The sequence below is a fragment of the Homo sapiens genome, chromosome 5, assembly GCF_000001405.40.
Source record: "Homo sapiens chromosome 5, GRCh38.p14 Primary Assembly".
NCBI classification, from domain to species: Eukaryota; Metazoa; Chordata; class Mammalia; order Primates; family Hominidae; genus Homo; species Homo sapiens.
Genome location: NC_000005.10, coordinates 1,361,684 through 1,381,139, shown reverse-complemented (window position 1 = coordinate 1,381,139; position 19,456 = coordinate 1,361,684). Strand labels below are relative to the sequence as shown.

The 19,456-nt window shown below is 50.0% G+C and overlaps 1 long non-coding RNA gene and 1 pseudogene across 1 annotated transcript; both read left to right on the top strand.

Annotated features, from left to right (window-relative positions):
• The first annotated feature begins 1,066 nt into the window (after window positions 1–1,066).
• Window positions 1,067–17,558, top strand: LINC01511 (long intergenic non-protein coding RNA 1511). Its single transcript, NR_125810.1, has 2 exons — window positions 1,067–1,578; window positions 16,449–17,558. It is a non-coding gene; the product is annotated as a long intergenic non-protein coding RNA 1511 (long non-coding RNA).
• Window positions 10,195–10,597, top strand: MTCO2P32 (MT-CO2 pseudogene 32; annotated as a pseudogene).
• Window positions 17,559–19,456: the final 1,898 nt, after the last annotated feature.

The following is a 19,456-nucleotide window of genomic DNA, read 5'->3' as shown; positions in this document are numbered from 1 at the left end:
ATGCCCCAGGAGGAGGAGGGCGGCGGGTGTGTTCACGCACCACGTGCAGCCCTGGCTGCTCTGCTGCTGGAGTCCATTCGGGCTGCTGTGACAACACGCCTAAGCCTGAGCCACTTGTCAACAACAGACATTTATTGCTCACAGTCCTGGAGGCTGCAAGTCCAAGACCAGGGTGCTGGCGGATGTGGCGTCCCATGAGGCAGCCCTCTGCTTCCAAGACGGCGCCTCTTGACAAGGCTCAGGGTGGACAGAGCGAGGGAGCTCCCTGGAGCCTCTTCTACCCGGGCCACTCATGCCATTCGTGAGAGCACAGCCCTCGTGATCTACTCACCTCCCAAAGGTCCCACCTGTTAACACCATCACATTGGGTATTAGGTTCCAACCTATCAATTTTGGGGGCCACTAACACTCAGGCTACAGAAACTACTAATGCATCTTGGGATATTGTGAAACTGAAAGGTGACAACGTGCCAGCAGCCCTCGCTGGCTCTCGGCGCTTCCTGGGCCTCCGTGTCGGCTCTGGCCGTGCTTGAGGAGCCCTTCGGCCTGCCGCTGCGCTGTGGGGCCCCTCTCTGGGGCTGGCCGAGGCTGGAGCCAGCTCCCTCTGCTGGCGGAGAGGCGCGGGCGGGAGCGGGGGCTGAGCGCAGCGCTCGCGGGCGGCGCGGGTTCCGGGTGGGTGCAGGCTTGGCTGGCCCGCCGACGCCTGCTGGGCTTGATCTGGGGATGAGCTCCCTCTGGGCTGCCGGAGTGCCCAGGGTAGATGCTGCAAAGTTCTAAAGGGAGTGCTACTGAGAGGTGAGGCCGGCTGGGCTTCTGGCTCCGGTGGTGACTTGGAGAACTTTTCTGTCTACCTAAAGGATTGTAAACACACCAATCAGCACTCTGTAGCCAGCTAAAGGTTTGTAAATGCACCAATGAGCACCCTGTCCAAATGGACCAATCAGCTCTCTGTAAAATGGACCAATCAGCTCTCTGTAAAATGGACCAATCAGTTCTCCGTAAAATGGACCAGTCAGCAGGATGTGGGTGGGGTCAGATAAGGGAATAAAAGCAGGCTGCGGGAGCCAGCGGTGGCAACCTGTTAGGGTCTGCTTTTGTCCTCTGGGAGCTTTCCTTGTTTGGTTTTCGTAGTAAATCTTACTGCTGCTCAGTGTTTGTGTCTGTGCTGCGTTTGTGAGCTGCAACGCTCACGGTAAAGGTCTACAGCTTCACTCCCGAAGCCAGCGAGACTGTAAATCCACTGGGAGGGGCAAAGAACTCTGGACGTGCTGCATTTTTAGGAGCTGTGACACTCACCGCGGAGGTTTGCAGTTTCACTCCTGAAATCAGTGTAGACCACGAACGCACCAGAAGGAACAAACTCCAGACACACCGTTTTTAGGTAACCGTAACATGTACCGCGAGGGTCTGCGGCTTCATTCTTGAAGACGAGACTAAGAACCCACCAACTTCTGGACACAAAACCACCCCAAAAAGTGAGTTTCTAAAGGAGAAGCTAAAAATAAAGACCACGAAAGTGTTGCCCATGGTGATAGCTCCAGACGTCCGGAGACGGTGTTCAGCGCTGCTGCAGGAGAGGTATGTGGGCAGAGTGGGGAACCGCATTCCTCCATGGAGGCTGCTCTGGAGGGCTGGTGCCTGCATCGGGGTTGCATTCAGCCCCTAACAAAGCTGTAGGCAGCCGCTCCGTGTGGTGCGGGGGAAGCCGGTGCAGGCATTACTCCTACAGCGTTCTGTGGTTTCTTCTCGGGAGTGATACAACCCACTGTCTCCACTGTAAGGTTTAGTTAATGCTGGGTGACAGTCTGATCTCACGTAGCCAGGTACAGATAAAGTACAACACACTCCTTAGTCTCCTTCCTTTCCTGTCCGCCAGGTGCCCACAGGGGGCCTGCACTTCAACTCCTGAGCAGCTGGGCTCCCACCCCTAGCCTGAGCCCTGCTGTTTCCTGCTCTCTGCCCTGTATCCTTGTCAGAGCCTCAGCTCTCTCCCTGTGCTGAGTTGGCGCAGGTGAGACGGAGGGACCAACGCCTGGCCCTTAACGTCAGTGCCTAGTGCACACTTACCCAGTGTGTGCGTGGCCTACCAGCGGTACCCAGCCATGGGGCGGCAGGAATCCCTCTCTGCCTGCAGTCCTGCCACCCTGGTCTTCTGCCTCCCCAGGGAGTTTCCACTTTGCGGAGAAGTGGGGGCCAGAGAGATGGGGGGAGTTAGTGGAGGGAACAGGGAGACAGACCCTTCCCTTCATGGTCCTCAAAGGTACAGGCGCTGGTGGGCTTACCTTATTATGGAGGCTGCAGCTTTTGTGTTCCTTCCAGGACCACAGAAATATACCACACACCCCCCAAAGTAAATAAGTGATTAAAATCAACCGGGATGGGGGCTTGAAGCCGAAATGGAATATAAGCAGTAACAGGTGAACCTCATCGAAGGGAGTGGGGAAAAGAAAACCTACCGCATGCTTTGGAAGACAGTATCATGGGCTGTAAGACAAAAAGAATGGCGTGCAGACACTGTGCCCTAGTTTGTGAAGCTGTTTTGCACAGCAACCTGGGTTAGCAATTATGAGATTACTTTGTGTGTGCTCCAGACTTGAGCAAGCAAGCATATTGTGGGTAATTAGAGCCGGATACATAATTTGCGGGACCTGGTGCGAAATGAGATTGCAGGGCCCTTGCTCAAAACTCATTAAGAACTTAAGGATGGCGACAGCAGAGCTTTAAACTCTGAGCAGGAGGCCCTGTCTGGCCGCTCAGGTCACCTTCCAGCGGCCGCGCTGTGGGTGACGAGCCTCGCTGCTGGAGAAGGGAGCTACCAGTAAGGAGCATGGGAGGCTGGGAGGGGAGGCGGCAGTAGGAGCTTGTAGTTTCAGCACGGAAGTGTCGGTAGACGGCTGGGTAGACGGGTGTGAGCCTGGCATGGGCCCGTGTGTTCTCACCGAGGCTTTAGCTGTGTCCACTGGGGGACCTCGGAGCAGGGACACCCTACAGCCATGGGCACCCCCAGAGCCGGATCTCGGGCACTAACATCTTTCTCCAGGTCAGGCACTGGGGCCCCCAGATAGCACTGAGGCAGGGAGGGTTCCCGGGTGAACATGGAGTGGTCCCACAAAGTAAGGTAGAGCGCCCAAAGGGCAGCGGGGGGGGGGTGGTCAGTAAGGCAGAGCGCTCAGAGGGCAGCGGGGGGGGCCAAAAGGATGCAGGACCAATCTACACGGCTCCAGAGCCAAACCTGGGATAATCGGAGCAAAACAATACATAAGTATACCAATGGGCCAGGTGCAGTGGCACGTGCCTGTGATCCCAGCACTTTGGGAGGCTGAGGCAGGTAGATGGCTTGAGTCCCGGAGTTCTAGACCAGCCTGGACACATGGTGTGAAACCTTGCCTCTACAGGAGATAAAAAATCAGCTAGGCATGGTGGTGCATGCCTGTGGTCCCAGCTACTCAGCAGGCTGAGGTGGGAGGATCATCTGAACCCAGGAGGCAGAGGTTGCAGTGAGCTGAGATCATGCTGCTGCACTCCAGTCTGGGTGACAGAGCGAGACCCTGTCTCAAAAAAGAAAATTATAGTAATAGTTCATAACTCATAAGGCTAAATGCCCACAAGTCCATACATAAATGCATAGATAAATAAGGGGGAAGAGGGTGAAATGCTCGTCTCCTCCGAATTGCAGTTAATGTAGAAGGAACGATGGTAACAGAGAATGGCCATTTGGCAAACAACACAGGAATCATCGAGGGATGTTGCGATTAGTAGGCAAAATTAGGATGAGAAATGGGATATTTCTTGGCCTCAAACTATCTCCCGACAAGATAATTAAAGGGAAAATGTAACTTTGTGGCAGAGAGCCCTGGCAGATACCCCTGCTCCCAGCAACCGAGCTTAACACGCCAGTAACAGGCCCAGATCATAGGTCTCCTGATGAGATGCCCTGAAGTCAGCCTGGCATAGCTTCTGTGGGTCCTGCCCAGAGGATATGTCCTAAATGCAGTCATGAGAAGCAGCTGTGTGCTGGGCAATGGCCCCACACTCCAAGCTGTCCCCACTGGGAGGCAGCCAGGGAGAATGACAACCAAATGCAATGTGTGGTCCTGGACTGGGCTGTGGGCCAGAAAGACACTGGGATGGGGCCTGTAGATAGTTAATAGTATTGCATTTCAAATAATTTTTTAAAAACAGTATTGCGTTGGTGTTAATTTCCTAATTTTGAACATTGCACCATGGTTCTATGTGAGATAACTTCTAGGGAAACTACTTACAGGATATGCTGGAATTCTTTGCACTGTTTTTGTTTTTTGGTAACTTTTTTCATGACTGAAATCATTTCAAAGTGACTATTTAGAAATTAAAAATGAAAACAAGATGATCTTTTATCCTCAGAGAATATCCTTCTAAGTATAAACAGTGTGAGTGCTGTGCTCACAAGTCACCTGAAGGCTGGGCGCGGTGACTCACGCTTGTAATCCCAGCACTTCGGGAGGCCAAGGCGGGCGGGTCACCTGAGGTCAGGAGTTGAAGACCAGCCTGACCAACGTGGTGAAACCCCATCTCTACTAAAAATGCAGAAATTATTCCAGCATGGTATCCCAGCTACTCAGGAGGCTGAAACAGAATTGCTGGAACCCGGGAGGTGGAGGTTGCAGTGAGCCGAGACCACGTCACTGCACTCCAGCCTGGGCAACAGAGCGAGACACTTTTTTTGTTTTGTTTTGAGACAGTTACTTGAAATAATTTCACTTGTGTGGTTGCATCACCAGCACTGTGATACGTAGTTGTCCTGTGGCAAACGGTGCCCTCCAAACACATGTCCGCCCACAACTTCAGAATGTGAACTTGTTTGGAAACAGGCTCTTTGCAGATGCAATGAGTTAAAGTGAAGTCATTCTGGATTAGGGCGGGCCCTAAATCCTGTAGCTGATGTCTTATGAGAAGACATCAGACAGACCAGCACAGAGGAAGAGCCCCACGCTGAGAGGGAGCAGACTGGAGGGATGCAGCCAACAGCCAGGGCACACCCAGGGCCACCAGCAGCCACTGTGTGGGAGAAGGGGGTGGAAGGAGCCCACTCTGCCTGCACGTCACTGTCACACTGTGGCCTCTGAGACGGCAGGTGCCTGTTGTCCTGAGCCATGTGGTGTGCAGCACCTTGTTATGGCAGCCACAGGAGACCAACATCACCATCCAGCTCACGTCTCCACTTTAGAGTTCACCTTCTTCCTTTCGATGGCGAGGACGGCATTCTGCAGACGTGGAAGACTTACACCCTCGGAAGCCAAAACCACAAAGCAGGATTCCTTCGGAGAGGTCTAGCTGCTGTACAGATAACTGCTTTATTAGATTTTACGTTCCTTCCCACCCAACCTTCATTTCCCCCATGATCAGACCAACGGTAAGGCAGCCTCACCCTTTCTGCCCCTTTGTCCTTTAATGCAGGAAAGATGAACCCTAAAATTGGGGTTTTGCCGGGAGGGTTCTTGACTTCACCCAGGAAAGAGTTTGAGGGCAAGCTGGAGGTGTTAGCTGCTCCTTGTGGAGCGGGGTTGACTCACAGGCAGTGTGCCCAGAGTCCACAGTGTATGGGCTGTTGGCAACTGTATTTATACCCACTTCTTTTACATGCAGATTAAGTAGAGATCAATGCAAATTGAGGGGTGGGTTATTTAGAATTGTCTAGAAAAGAAGTGACAACTTCTGGGTCGTTGCAATGAAAAAAGGTGGTAACTTCCAGGTCATTGCCATGGCATTTGCAAACCATCATGGCCCTGGTGGGAGGGTCTTATGCCAATGAGCAATGATGGCAGCCAGGGATCACCCTCCTCGCCGTCCCCTGATTCCTGTCTCCACTTCATCCCATCCAGCCCAGATCCTGTTTTGGTCAGTGGGTCAGTGACCAGAAAACAAGTCCTGCCACCTTCCTACCTCATCCCCTCTCTTCAGAGATGAGATCCTTCCCCTTAATCTTAAGGGGGTGCAGAAGGGCAGGGTCTGTCTTCTGGGATTGCTTCCTGCTGTGTTCATGGGCATAGGTCCTGTGTAAGGTTAGAGGAGGGAAAATCTCTGATCTAAGGGCCCCAGAGGCCAGACACTTTCATTCTCCAGGTCAGAGGATAGGATGGGTTGAAGCCTGTACCAGTGTTGTCTTTGTGTGGAATTGTTGCAATCTACAGGACTCGAGCTTTGCTAGGAACCAAAAGTTAGTAATGATAAGATAGTTATTAAAGGTCCTGGGAAAGGTCCTTTGCCTTTCCTACAGCCCACATGGTTGCCAACAGCCCATATGCCGTGGACTCTGGGCACACTGCCTGTGAGTCAGCCCGGCTCCACAGGGAGCAACTAACACCGCCAGCTTGCCCTGTAACTCGTTCCTGGGTGAAGCCAAGAACCCTCCTGGCTAAACCCCAATTTTAGGGCTCATCTTTCCTGCATCAAAGGAAGATGAGGCTGCTTTACCGTTGGTCTGATCATGGGGGAAATGAAGGTTGGGTGGGAAGAAACCCAAAATCCAATAAGGGAGCCAAAAGTTAGTAATGATGAGATGTCATTAAAGGCCCTGAGAAAGGTCAAAACCAGGCAAGAAGAATCGGTATGGCTGATGACTGCACGTGCTCCTCGCCATGTGATTTGTGTATTTGCAAAACAACAGCTTTACACCTTCCAGGGGCTCACAGGTGAAGGGCATGCTGTCCTCCCCTCATGCCTGCAGGGACGCAGAAGACGCAGGTTTAACCCTGGACAGGTGTACCCAGCGAGTGACTTCCTGCAGTTTAACAGCAGTGGGACACAACAGCTGAACCTCTGGGACACCAACCCAAGCAGTTTTTGTTTGTTTTGTGGGACAGGGTTTCGCACTCTCGCCCAGGCTGGAGTGCAGTGGTGTGATCACAGCTCACTGCAGCCTTGACTTCCTGGTCTCAAGTGATCTTCTCACCTCAGCCTCCCAAGTGGCTGGGACTGCAGATGTGCGCCACACCCACACTACATTTTTTTTAAAAAGTGGTGTGTGGTGTTTTTTTTTGTTGTTTTTTTTTTGTAGAGATGGGTTTTTGCCATGTTGCCCAGGCTGGTTGTGAACTCCTAGGCTCAAGTGATCCACCTGCCTTGGCCTCCCAAAGTGCTGGGATTACAGGCGTGAGCCACCGCACTCAGCCCAAAGAAGTTTTAGAAGAAGCTGGTTATAGCATTAAAAGCAAAAATTCTCATAACTTAATAAATCAATACCTTAAGAAAACCCAGTTCCAATACATAGATCATTCCCTAGAAAGTCTACCACAAACCATTTTTCTTTAATCAGCAGGGTGCAGTGGCTCATGCCTGTAATCCTAGCACTTTTAGGAGGCCAAGGCGGGCAGATCACAAGGCCAGGAGTTCGAGACCAGCCTGGCCAATATGGTGCAACCCTGTCTCCACTAAAAATACAAAAATTAGCCAGGCGTGGTGGTGGGCACCTGTAGTCCCAGCTACTCAGGAGGCTGAGGCAGGAGAATCACTTGAACCCGGGAGGCAGAGGTTGCAGTGAGCCTAGATCATGCCACTGCACTGCAGCCTGGGTGACAGAGTGAGACTCTGTCTCCAAAAAAAAAAAAAAAAATTTCTTTAATCACAGCAGGCTTAATTGCACACAAAACTACTCTCAGAAGTTCCCCTTCACAAACCCCATTACAACCCACACAGACCACCCATGACATGCCTGGACTCTCTGACCTGTCCTACACCTCCCTCACAACCAGTCTCTTTATTCTGGGACCAGAGATCCTTTCTCATACAAAGTCAGTCTTTCTTGGCCGGGCGCAGTGGCTCACGCCTGTAATCCCAACACTTTGGGAGGCCGGGGTGGGTGGATCACCTGAGGTCAGGAGTTTGAGACCAGCCTGGCCAACATGGTGAAACCCCGTCTCCACTAAAAATACAAAAATTGGCCAGGCATGGTGGCGGGCACCTGTAAGTCAGTCTTCATACCCCTCCTGAAAAAAAAAATGTATGTATGTATAACTCCCCACTTCTCTCTTTTCTACTCGTACTGGTTCCCTCATATTTTGAGCCCCTCATTTAATACTTTCTGGACAAAAGTTATTCTTTTCCCAATAATGTATCTTCCCTAGCACATTTTATATACAGGTAGGAAGCAAGAAATCTTCAACTGCCCAACAGACATTAGCATCCTGTAGATGAGAAGCATTCTACAGTTTCAAGATTTTTAAGCCATACAAAACTCACTACCTAAAGCCATTTTAACCATTCCAAAACCTATGAACATCTGGTTTACCTAGGTAAAAATTAAATTTTAGAAGACACAACATTCCCTTCAAACTAACATGTTTAGACTTATTTGTTTAATTTATGAGCACTCTTATTTATAAGCCAATGTGATAGCATGCTAGTCACAACACATATCATGCAAATGAAGTGACCTGTACAAGACAGCTGGACCCAAATTATTTATAAAATTGGGACCTGTTTACCTGACCAAATTTTATTTGCCCTGATAAGTATGAAAGACAAGGGGAAGTGGAGAAAGATTCTGTAGGAAAGGGGGGTGGTGGTGAATTATATGGCTCAGTGTGAAACCTTGCAGTCCCTGAGCCACCAGAGAGCTCACCCAGCAGCGGAGACACCAAAGAAAAATGTTGAAGTGGCCACTTGTCAGCCTGCAGGAAGCCATCCACCAGGCCAAGGGTCTGAGGCCCCCAGTACACTTACTTGAGCAGAACACCTCATTGGGGTCAGGAGATAGAGACCATCCTTGCTAATATGGTGAAACCCTGTCTCTACTAAAAATACAAAATATTAGCCAGGCGTGGTGGCGCACACCTGTAGTCCCAGCTACTTGGAAGGCTGAGGCAGGAGAATCGCTTGAACCCAGGAGATGGAGGTTGCAGCGAGCCAAGATTGCACCACTGCACTCCAGCCTGGGTGATGGAGCGAGACAATCTCAAAAAACAAAAAACACCTCATTGGGACTAGCAGAAGGTTAACTCTAGTATTGACAGGCAGCTTTTATCTTTCTCACCAGGGAGGGTTAGGACATTCTCATTGCCAATGGCCCTTTTGCTTATGGTAGGCACACTGATTCTGACCCAGGGGCCAGCAAGTCAAGAGCTCTTGTCTGGGCATGTCAGATGCCAATCTTAAAACACACTCTCAGGATGGGTAAGGCTGAGGGGCAAGGCACTGACAGCAACTGTTAGCAATTGTACATTTTGGCTATTTATCTTGCTTTTAATTCTACCTCTTGCCCTGTTCGTATTGTTGCAAACTTTAAAGGGCATGTTTAGGAGTTGGCTCATAGGGGTTTCAGGTCCCGTTTCTGCTTTCTGTAGCTTCCTCTTCATGTCGGAGGCAGGTTCAGGGATAAAATGTATACCCAGGAGACCTTGCCCTTCTGGGGAGTTGGGGCCTGCGTCAATACGTTTCCCGAGTACCTCAACCAAACTACCTTGAAACAGTGTGATTTTCATCCTTCCATGAGTTATTTCTCTAACCTTGTCATAACTGACTGGCTTAATCTCACACGTCTCCCTCTGCCTCTCCCTCATGTCACAGCAAGTGAGCAACAATGCTTGTAAGTCATGACAAGTGAAAGAGCATGGTAGACTTGATTCTTCCATAAAACCCCGGATTATCTGAAAACCGGCCACGTGCCTCCTTGCATGAAGCCAAGTCAGACATAGAAAATGGCACCTGCACTCCAAGTGCCCCCATTTCCGTCAGCTGCCTCTTGCCACAGACACAAGTTTGACTTGAAGGGCTGATATGGGGCCCTGCTTCTGGGGGTGCCCGTTGGACCTGCTTTCTTGGCAGTTGGGGGTATAGGCTGGGGCTAGTTGGATAAGGGGGGTGGGGGCCTGATGGCCCTGGGTGGAATCCTGCGCTGGCTGAACACCCCCTCAGAATTGGGGAACTGAGGAGGGTCCAAGGAGGGCACAGGCCTTCTAGGGGGAGCAGCTATGAGGGGTTCCCTTAGATGTGCCTTCCTGGTGCCTGGAAGTAACATGAGCCAGTAAAGGGCCATAAAAGCCTGTACATACGGGACCTCCTCCCACTTTTCTTCTTTTTTATGGAATAAGTCCAATTGTGAAATAGCATTATAATGTGTAGAACCATGTTTAGACCAGTTCTCTTGATTTTCTAATTTTTGTGTTGGACCCAAATGGTCTTGCAATAGAAAATGAATTTCTTTAAGCCGAATTTCATCTATTACATATTCTATACATCAAAGATGAAATTAACAACCCTTCGCTTACCATCAAAACTACAGGACACTGATGATACTGATGCTATGAATATGCAGATTATGAAGACTTAAATTTTGACTCTTCCATACTCAACAGATCTAAAGCCGGGAAAGCTATTGATTACTATAAGCTATGATGAAGTTGACAATTGAGTAGTCTTCCCTATAGAAATATCAATTCATATACTGATTTCGTCAGAAGACGTTTTACGTTCATGAGCCGTACCGTCACCGGGCCTGAAAACAGATGCAATTCCAGAACATCGAAACCAAGCAACCTTAATGTCTACACCACCAGGCTCTTACCACGACCAGTGCTCAGAAATCTGCAGGTCTAACCACAGCTTTATGCCAATTGTTCTTGGGCTAGAACTAGTACCCTGAAGAACATCAAACACTGGCCAGCATAAAAGACACTCCAGCTGCAAGTGTTCTGGGATGCTCATCATCATCCTTACGTCTAGCAAGGATTTCTACTGGGCACAGGCATTTTTCTAAGTCTAGCAAGAGCAGAAGCAGCTGGACCTTTGCTGTCATCCCCTTTCAGATTCCCATGTCCTGCAGAGAAGGAATAAGTCAAGGTAGCAAGTCATTAAAAAAGTGCTGGCAAACAAAATATGACAAAACAACTATTTTTACTAAGCAAAGCGTAGAAGGAAAAGTGTAGATAAAGTGACAATAAGAAAATGCTGTTTCAGAAAATAACTTTCGGTACGAAACCAGAAAAGGCAAGGCCAAGATTCCCCTAGGGTGGCCTCTAACGCCACAATCCTAGAGGGAATACCAGTGCCAAAAACTCTGGAGCGTCTGGGGGTGGCCTACAATCCCAAATGCCAAAAACCCAGAGCAGTCGAGTATCAGCCAACAAGGGTCCCCACACCAATGTCGAAAACCCCAGAGCATCTAGCTGGTGGCCCACAGTGAACCCCAAAGGCCAAGCTGGGGCCACAGAACAACATGACCCTGCTGTCCTAGGGTCAGCACAACAGGGGACCTCCCACAACCAAGTGTCCTTCCTTAAGTAACTGCCCAAGTAGAGTTAGCAGGGAGCCAAAGCAAAAATTGCAGATGAAACGTACATTTCAAAGCAGAAATTAAAATGGCCAACAGGCAATGAAATGGCATTAGAGGAGAAAGGATCGAGAGAAGGAATGACAAGGATGTGGCTGGTCAGGTGTGCTACGGGGACTTCAAACTGACCATCTAGCCAGAGGCCTAATTTCCTGGCTCATATTGGCAGGGGTGGGCAGAGGGGAGGACACTCACCCAACCACAGGGGCCAAAATGGTGCTGATCATTCTCCACCTTAATCCCTAGGTAAAGGTCTCCTCCCAGGGTTTCCCCAGCTTGGGCAGGCTCAGCTGCTGTGAGGAGACTGGCACATGGACCGGTGACCTGCCAGCCAGGGCAGGGGTCCCATGCGTGGTGGTGGCACTGTGGCCACTCCCCCAACCACTTGGCTCTGCTGCCTACCAGGAAAGATGACGGCTCTGAAGAGAGCCTTTGGCTGAGGTTACAGCTCCGCTGCACTAGCCGCTCTATGACTTTGATTTTCTTTGATCGCTGCAGAGCCAATCGCCATCTCTGATTGCTGCTTCTTCCCATCTCACCAGTCACTGTGTAGCCAGTCACCAGACGGCTGGTTGCCGTCTTGCTACCTCTCCACCGTCCAGCCTTCTTGTCAATTGCCACCTCACCACTTCTTTTGAGAGATGGCAGTTGTCCTACCCACTGTGGACCATCACCTCTCTGCTGTCTCACCACCCCTCCACCCACCACTGCCATCCCCACTGTTTCATCTTCATGGCTGCCAGGTGATGCAGGCCAAAACTGGGGCTTAGCCCAGGAGATTTCTTGGCTTTGCCCAGGAAAGAATTCAAGGGCAATCCGGCAGTGTTAGGCAGCAAACTTTTATTGACCAGCACTGTTCCTTGCAGAGTGGGGCTGACTCATAGGCAGTGTGCCCAGAGTCCACAGCATATGGGTTGTTGGCAACTGTATTTATACCCACTTCTACCCGCTTTCAATTACGTGCAACTTAAGGGACAGGTCAATGCAAATTAAGGGGCAGGTTATATAGAACTTTCTAGGAAAGGGGTGATAACTTCCAGGTCATTGCCATAAAAAGCAGTGGTAATTTCCGTAAACTGTCATGGCATTTGTAAACTGTCATGGCACTGGTAGGCATGTCTTAGGCTAGTGACCAACAAGGGCAGCCAGGTTTTGCCCTCTTACCATCTGCTGGTCTTTGCCAGCTTCTCCACTTCACCTCATCTGGACCGGGTCCGGCTTTGGTCAGCAAGGCTGTGACCAAGAAATAAGCCCCACCGCTCTCCCGCCTCCCTTGCACTTAGAACGCCACCTCTGGAAGATAACTGCCTATCAGCACAGAGATACCTTTTTTATTCTTCTTTACAGATGCATTTTGTGGGTGTGTCTCAGTTATTTATTAAACCTTCTGCTCTTTGATATTTGGGTGTTTCCAAACCTTTGCCACTACATGTGATGCCACAGTGAACAGCATGGAGCACTTGCTGCGTGTCTGGCCATCTCAGGGACAGATGTCACATTTGTTGCTGTAGCTGGGTAAGTGGGAGGCCCTCCAACAAAAGCCACCTCCCCTCCCAGGCAGCAGTGCCCCATGAGCCGCCCATCTCCTTGGGGATGCAGAGGCGCTGTTGGAAGTCTGCCTCTCGGACTATCTGATGGGTGGGAAATGGCGTGCAGAGGACCTGGGGTGTGGTGCACTTTTACTGTAAGTGAGGCTGAGTGTGTCTTCACAGGGGAGAGCCCATTGCCTTTCTTTTTCTGCCCATTGCCTTTCTTTTTCTGCCCATTTTTCCAACAGATAATTGGGTTTTTGCCTTGATTTTTAGGAGCTTGTTATAGTTTGCAGAGCTTGATCCTTTGTGCGATAAGTTGGAAGCATTTTCTCATGTGCTATGGCTTTCATTTCCCCATGTGCTACACCTTTGATTTTCTTCATGGGCTTTTGTTCATGCAAAAATGTGTATTTTTTGGTTTTTTGTTTTGTTTTGTTTTTTTTGTTTTTTGGTTTTTTTTTTTGAGACGGAGTTTCGCTCTTGTTGCCCAGGCTGGAGTGCAATGGCACCATCTTGGCTCACCACAACTTCTGCCTCTTGGGTTCAAACAATTCTCCTGCCTCAGCCTCCCGAGTAGCTGGGATTACAGGCATGCGCCACCACGCCCAGCTAATTTTTATATTTTTAGTAGAGACGGGGTTTCACCATGTTGGCCAGGCTGGTCTTGAACTCCCACCTCAGGTGATCCACCCTCCTTGGCCTCCCAAAGTGCTGGTATTAACAGGCGTGAGCCACTGTGCCCAGCCTGTATATTTCATTTTTAATGTTTTATTTTTTAGAGCAGTTTTAGGTTCACAGTAAAATTAAGACGAAGGTACAGAGATTTCCTATAGCCCCCCTCCCCAACTACAGCCTCCCCAAGATGAACTTCCCCACCAGAGGTGCATGTGTTACAGCTGATTCTCCTGCACTGACCCCTGTCGTCATCACCCAGCGCCTGAAGCCTACATTCAGGCTCAGTCTCGGTGCTGTACTCTCTAAGGGTTTGGACAAATATCTAACGGCACGTGTCTACAATTATAGCATCACATAGAGGAGTTTCACTGCCCTAAAAATCCTCTATGCTCCTCTTGTTCAACCTTCCCTCCCCCCAGCCTCTGACAACCACTGATCTATTTAACATCTCCATGGTTTTGCCGTTTCCCAAATGTCCTAGAGTTGGAACCCCACAGGGTGTAGCCTTTTCACATTGGCCACTTTCACTCAGTGATAAGTATTTAAGTTCTTTCCCTGCCTTTTCATAGTTTGGGAGCTCATTTCCTTTTAGTGCTGAGTCCACTGTCTGGATGTGCCACAGCTTGCTTACCCATTCACCTACTGAAGGGCATCTCGGTTGCTTCCAGGTTTTGAAACTTATGAATAAAACTGCTATAAACACCCATGTACAGGTTTTGTGCGGACAGAAGTTTTCAGTCCCTTTGGGTGTATACCGAGGAATATGATTACTGGACCGTACGGTGAGATCATGTCTAGTTTTGTGAGAAACTGCCAAACTGTCTTCCACAGCGGCGGCCCCATTTTGCATTCCCACCAGCGATGAACAAGAGTTCCTGCTGTTCCGCATCCTTGTCAGCATTTGATGTTGCCAGTCCCTGGGTTTTGGCCATGCTAGTAGGTGTGTGTGGTGTCTCAGTGTTGGTGTAATTTGCATTTCTCCGATGATGCGTGACGCTGAACATTCTCACACACGTATTGCCATGTGCAGAACTTCTTCGGTGAGATTTACGTTCCAGTATTTTGCTCACTTTTAAAATCTATTGTCCATTTGTTATTGTTGAGTTTTAAGAGTTTTTTGCATATTTTCAGTACTGTCCTCTATCAGATAAGTCTTTTGCAAGTATTTTCTCCCAGTCTGTGGCTTGTCTTCTCTTGACAGAGTCTCTTGCAGAGCAGAAGTTTCTCACATTAATGAAGTCCAACTTATCCATTATTTCTCTCATGGATCATGCCTTTTAGATCCAACAGGCATGTTGAATGTTGAATCTAAAACGTCATCTCATGCCCAAGGCCATCTGGGTTTTATTCTATGTTATCTTCTAGGAGCGTTATAGTTTTGTGTTTTACATTGAGGTCTGATCCATTTTGAGTTCGTTTTTGTGAAGGGTGGGAAGTCTGTGTCTGGATTTGCTTTCCTGCACATGGGTGTCCTGTTGTCCCAGCACCATTTGTTGAAAAGACTCTTTGTCCCATGGAATTGGCTTTGCTCCTCTGACTGCATCCACATGGGTCTGTTTCTGGGTTCTGCACTCTGCCCCCTTACCCGCCCCCTACCCACCCCCCGCTTATCCGCCCCACCTGCCCCCTTATCCGCCCCCTACCCGCCCCCTTATCCACCCCCTACCTGCCCCCTCCTCCATCTTTCATTCACCACCCTGCTTTGATTAGTGCAGCTTCATCAGGAGCCTAGGAGCCGGGCAGCATGAGTCCCGTGACTTTGTTCTTCAATTTTGTGTTGGTTGTGCTGGGTCTTTCCTCTCTCTATGTAAACTTCAGAATCATTTCTCAATAGCCACAAAATAACTTGCTAGGATTTTGATTGAGTATACACACACACACACACACACACGCGCGCACACACACACACACATATTTGAGATGCTCCTGGAGTGCAGTGATGCGATCTCGGCTTACTGCAACCTCCACCTCCCGGATTCATGCAATTCTCCTGCCTCAGCCTCGCTAGTAGCTGGGGTTACAGGCGTGTGCCACCAGGCCTGGCTAATTTTTGTATTTTTAGTAGAGATACGGTTTCACAATGTTGGCCAGGCTGGTCTCAATCTGCTGACCTCAGGTGATCCTCCTGCCCCGGCCTCCCAAAATGCTGGGATTATAGGTGTGAGCCACCGTGCCAGACCTGAGTATACATTATTTTAAGTGATAAATTTTGGCAATCTTGTATTTGTTCTTCTAAATTATAAGATATGGTTAGAAAGCCTTTTCCTCTCCTGTGACATCCTGCAGCTGTGTTTTCAGCCAGACCTTACTTCCTTCTCGCATGAAGATCTCTGGTCTTTGGGGATTATTCTGGTGTGGAAAATAAGCTAAAGGTTAAGTTGTATCTTTTAGTTTTCTTTTATTTTTTTTCGAGATAGTCTTGCTCTGTCACTCAGGCTGGAGTGCAGTGGCACGATCTCAGCTCACTGCAACCTCCGCTTCCCAGGTTCAAGCAATTCTCCTGCCTCAGCCTCCCAAGTAGCTAGGATTGCAGGCACCCGCCACCACACCCGGCTAATTTTTGTATTTTTAGTAGAAATGGGGTTTCACTGTGTTGGCCAGGATGGTCTCAAACTCCTGGCCTCGTGATCTGCCCACCTCAGCTCCCAAAGTGCTGGGATTACAGGCATGAGCCACCACGCCTGGCCACTTTTGTATTTTTAGTAGATGTATGGGTTTCGCCACATTGACCAGGCTGGTCTCGAATTCTTGACCTCGTGATCTGCCCTCCTCGGCCTCCCAAAGTGCTGGGATTACAGGTGTGAGCCACTGTGCCTGGCCAGTTGTATCATTTTCTATGTGGCTATCCAACTGTCCCAAAAACTTATTGTCAAAAGTCCGTCTTTTTCCACCTCATTGTATACCTAATCTCTACATATATTTGGTTCTATTTGTAGACTTTATCTTCTATTCCGTTGGTCTGCCTATCTAGAAAGCAAAATTTCAAATACTGAGACCGATAGATGAAGATGCTTTCGCTTCTTCCCTGTTTCATCCAGTTGGGGACTAAGTGTCCTTCGGTTTGGACTGTGCAGCTCGGGTCACCTTCTCTGTGGAACAGCAAGTGAAGAAAGAGGCGCAGAGCCCTGTGTTCCAAACCCTGGAGACAATTGAGAAAGTGGGAACCCATTATTCCCCAAGCCCAGCCAGCAAACCTCACCGATGAAACAGATAAGCACTTCCTGCAGGTGGGGCCGACACTGGCCAGGACACAGCCCTCTCTCTCACAGCAGTGTTCCAGGTTGTTTGTGCACAAAATTTCACAAAGGTCAGAGCTCGTCTCTCCAAACCGATGAGCTTTGCGGTTAACCTGAATTCACTGAACTGGGATTTATTATTATTATTCTATTTTACCTCTAACAGAAGTTTAAGGTTCGTGTAAGTTTCGTTCCTCTCTGATTGTAGGGGAGACGCCCAGAGCGCCATTTGGAGGAGAGAACCTGGCATCCTTTCCTTACCTTGATTTCAGGTACCCAGCTCCTAGCAAATGTGTCTTCCTCCCAGGGTTCTTTGGGGTAAAGAATTTGGTGAGAAGGAGCTGAATGTTATGGCTGCGTTTCTCAGCCACTTGCTCGGAGCCAAGCATCCTCTCACCCTTTCTTTCAACTGGTAGCCAGAAAATACGGGTTGAGCATCAGGGATTCTCAACCGTGTCAAGCTCCAGCCCTGCCTGTTGTGACAGACGTTTCCTGATGCCTGTTGCTCTCTGGAATGAAGGTCATGGGCAGTATTACCCACACAGCCATTCAAAATCAGTCGGCTTCGTGACCTGTTGTGAAAGGATGGCGATTGCCGTGCCAGCACGTGACATGGACTCGGATGCCTGCGCACACAGGTGCACCTTCCAGAAGGTGAGGTCAGCCCGAGCGCCCACCGCCATGTGAGTGCGCTGCTGCAGTGACCAGTTGCTGGAATGTTCTGAACAGAGCCCAGTGCCACCCACTTTGATGTGCGCTATTGTTAGATCTCCGGAAAAATCAGAGTGCATTAAATTCCTGCAAAAATTCTGTGTGTCTGTCTCTACGTAAATGAGCTAGGGCTTTGCTCAGCCTCCTCCCTGCATCTGGCAAGAGGAGAAGCAACTTTTAATTCATGTACTTGAGGGCAGCCAGCACCCAGCACCACACCACAGCAGCCCCTGGGGAGGGCAGCACCCAACACAGCACAACCCTAATTCGTGTACTTCAGGGTAGGCAGCACCCAACACACCACAGCCCTTCCCAGCCAGCGGGACAACCACCGAGAGCCCCGAGAACTCCCACAGCAGCCCCAGGGAGGGCAGTGCAGGGCCGTGCATGCAGGGAGGAGGGAAGAACCAGGAGCAGCCCAGGCTGCCTGGACCCCAGCAGATGAGTCCACTGGTCCACAGAGCGCTCACTGCATGGCCCAAACTGCTGCTTTTTTTTTCTTTTGAGACAGAGTCTTGCTCTGTCGCCCAGGCTGGAGTGCAGTGGCGTGATCTCGGCTCACTTGCAACCTCCACCTCCACAGTTCCAGTGACTCTCCTGCCTCAGCCTTCCGAGTAGCTGGGACTACAGGCACCCGCCACCATGCCTGGCTAATTTTTGTATTTTTAGTAGAGACAGGGTTTCCCCCGTGTTGACCAGGCTGGTCTCAAACTCCTGACTTCAGGTGATTCGCCCTCCTCAGCCTCCCGAAGTGCTGGGATTACAGGTGTGAGCCACTGCGCCTGGCCAAACTGCTTCTTTTACTTTCATTTCCCTATGGAGAGCCAACGCCAGTCACTTTCCGTGGAAACCTGATTTTGGCTCTTGTTGCTGAACTAGAAAGAGGATGGCCGTGTGGACTCCTCCGGAGCTTTCTCAGCCTCGCTCACATTACCCTCCTCACCATAAGGACTAGAATTATTGCAAAAGCTGGAGCCACGCACTTAAGAATAGGGAATGAAAACTCGCTTTTTTTGTGGATAAAGGAAAGCTGTTCCTCGATTCACGACACGGCTGACAACAAGCGTGTGGGTTTTGCACACCAGCCAATTCTCCGGGTCTCTGCAGACACCACCCGAGTGTCCTGCAATTTAATTCAGCTCCAACACTGCCCGGCGCTAGCGCAGATCCGGAAGGTTGAAAGCTTTGCCCGTGAGGCTGCCCCCACTCAGCCAGTCACAAGCATCGTGTCCCCAGGCCACCCACATGTCTGTCCAACGTGGCTGCAAATGGGCCCACCATCCCCTCCTTAAATTCAGTAATTTGCTGGGATGGCTCGTGGAAGTCAGGGAAACACTTTGCTTACCGTTACTGCTTTCTTGGAGAAGATATTGTGAAGAATACGCAGGAACATCCAGATGTGGAGGTGCCTGGGGCGAGGGCTGGTGGGGTCCCGGGCACAGGACATTCCATTGTCCCCATGGACTTGGGGTGTGCCCCCTCCCACACGCGGACGTGTTCACCAACTCTGAAGCTCTCCAAATCCCATGGGCGAGGGTTTCTGATGGAGGTGTCATGTGGACACAATTGGTGACATCACTGGTGATTTTTCGTTGGCCTCCATCTCCAACCCCTGGCCCCAGAGATTGAGAAATGGGGCTGAAAGTTTCAGCCTTCAATCACACGGCTGGTTCCCCTAGCAACCAGCACCACCCTCAAGCTATCTAGGGGCCTACCAAGAGTCCCCTCATAGCATAAGCTCAGGAGAGGTTGAAAGGGGCTTGTTATGAATTCTCACCTCCTACCATGCAGGACATTCCAAGAAGCACTGTGTCAGGAACTGGGGACAAAATAGAATAAATATATATATATTTTTTGAGACGGGGTGTTGCTCTGTTGCACAGGCTGGAGTGCAATGGTGCGATCTCAGCTCACTACAACTTCTGCCGCCCAGGTTCAAGCAATTCTCCTGCTTCAGCTTTCGGAGTAGTTGGGATTACAGGCGCGTGCCACCATGC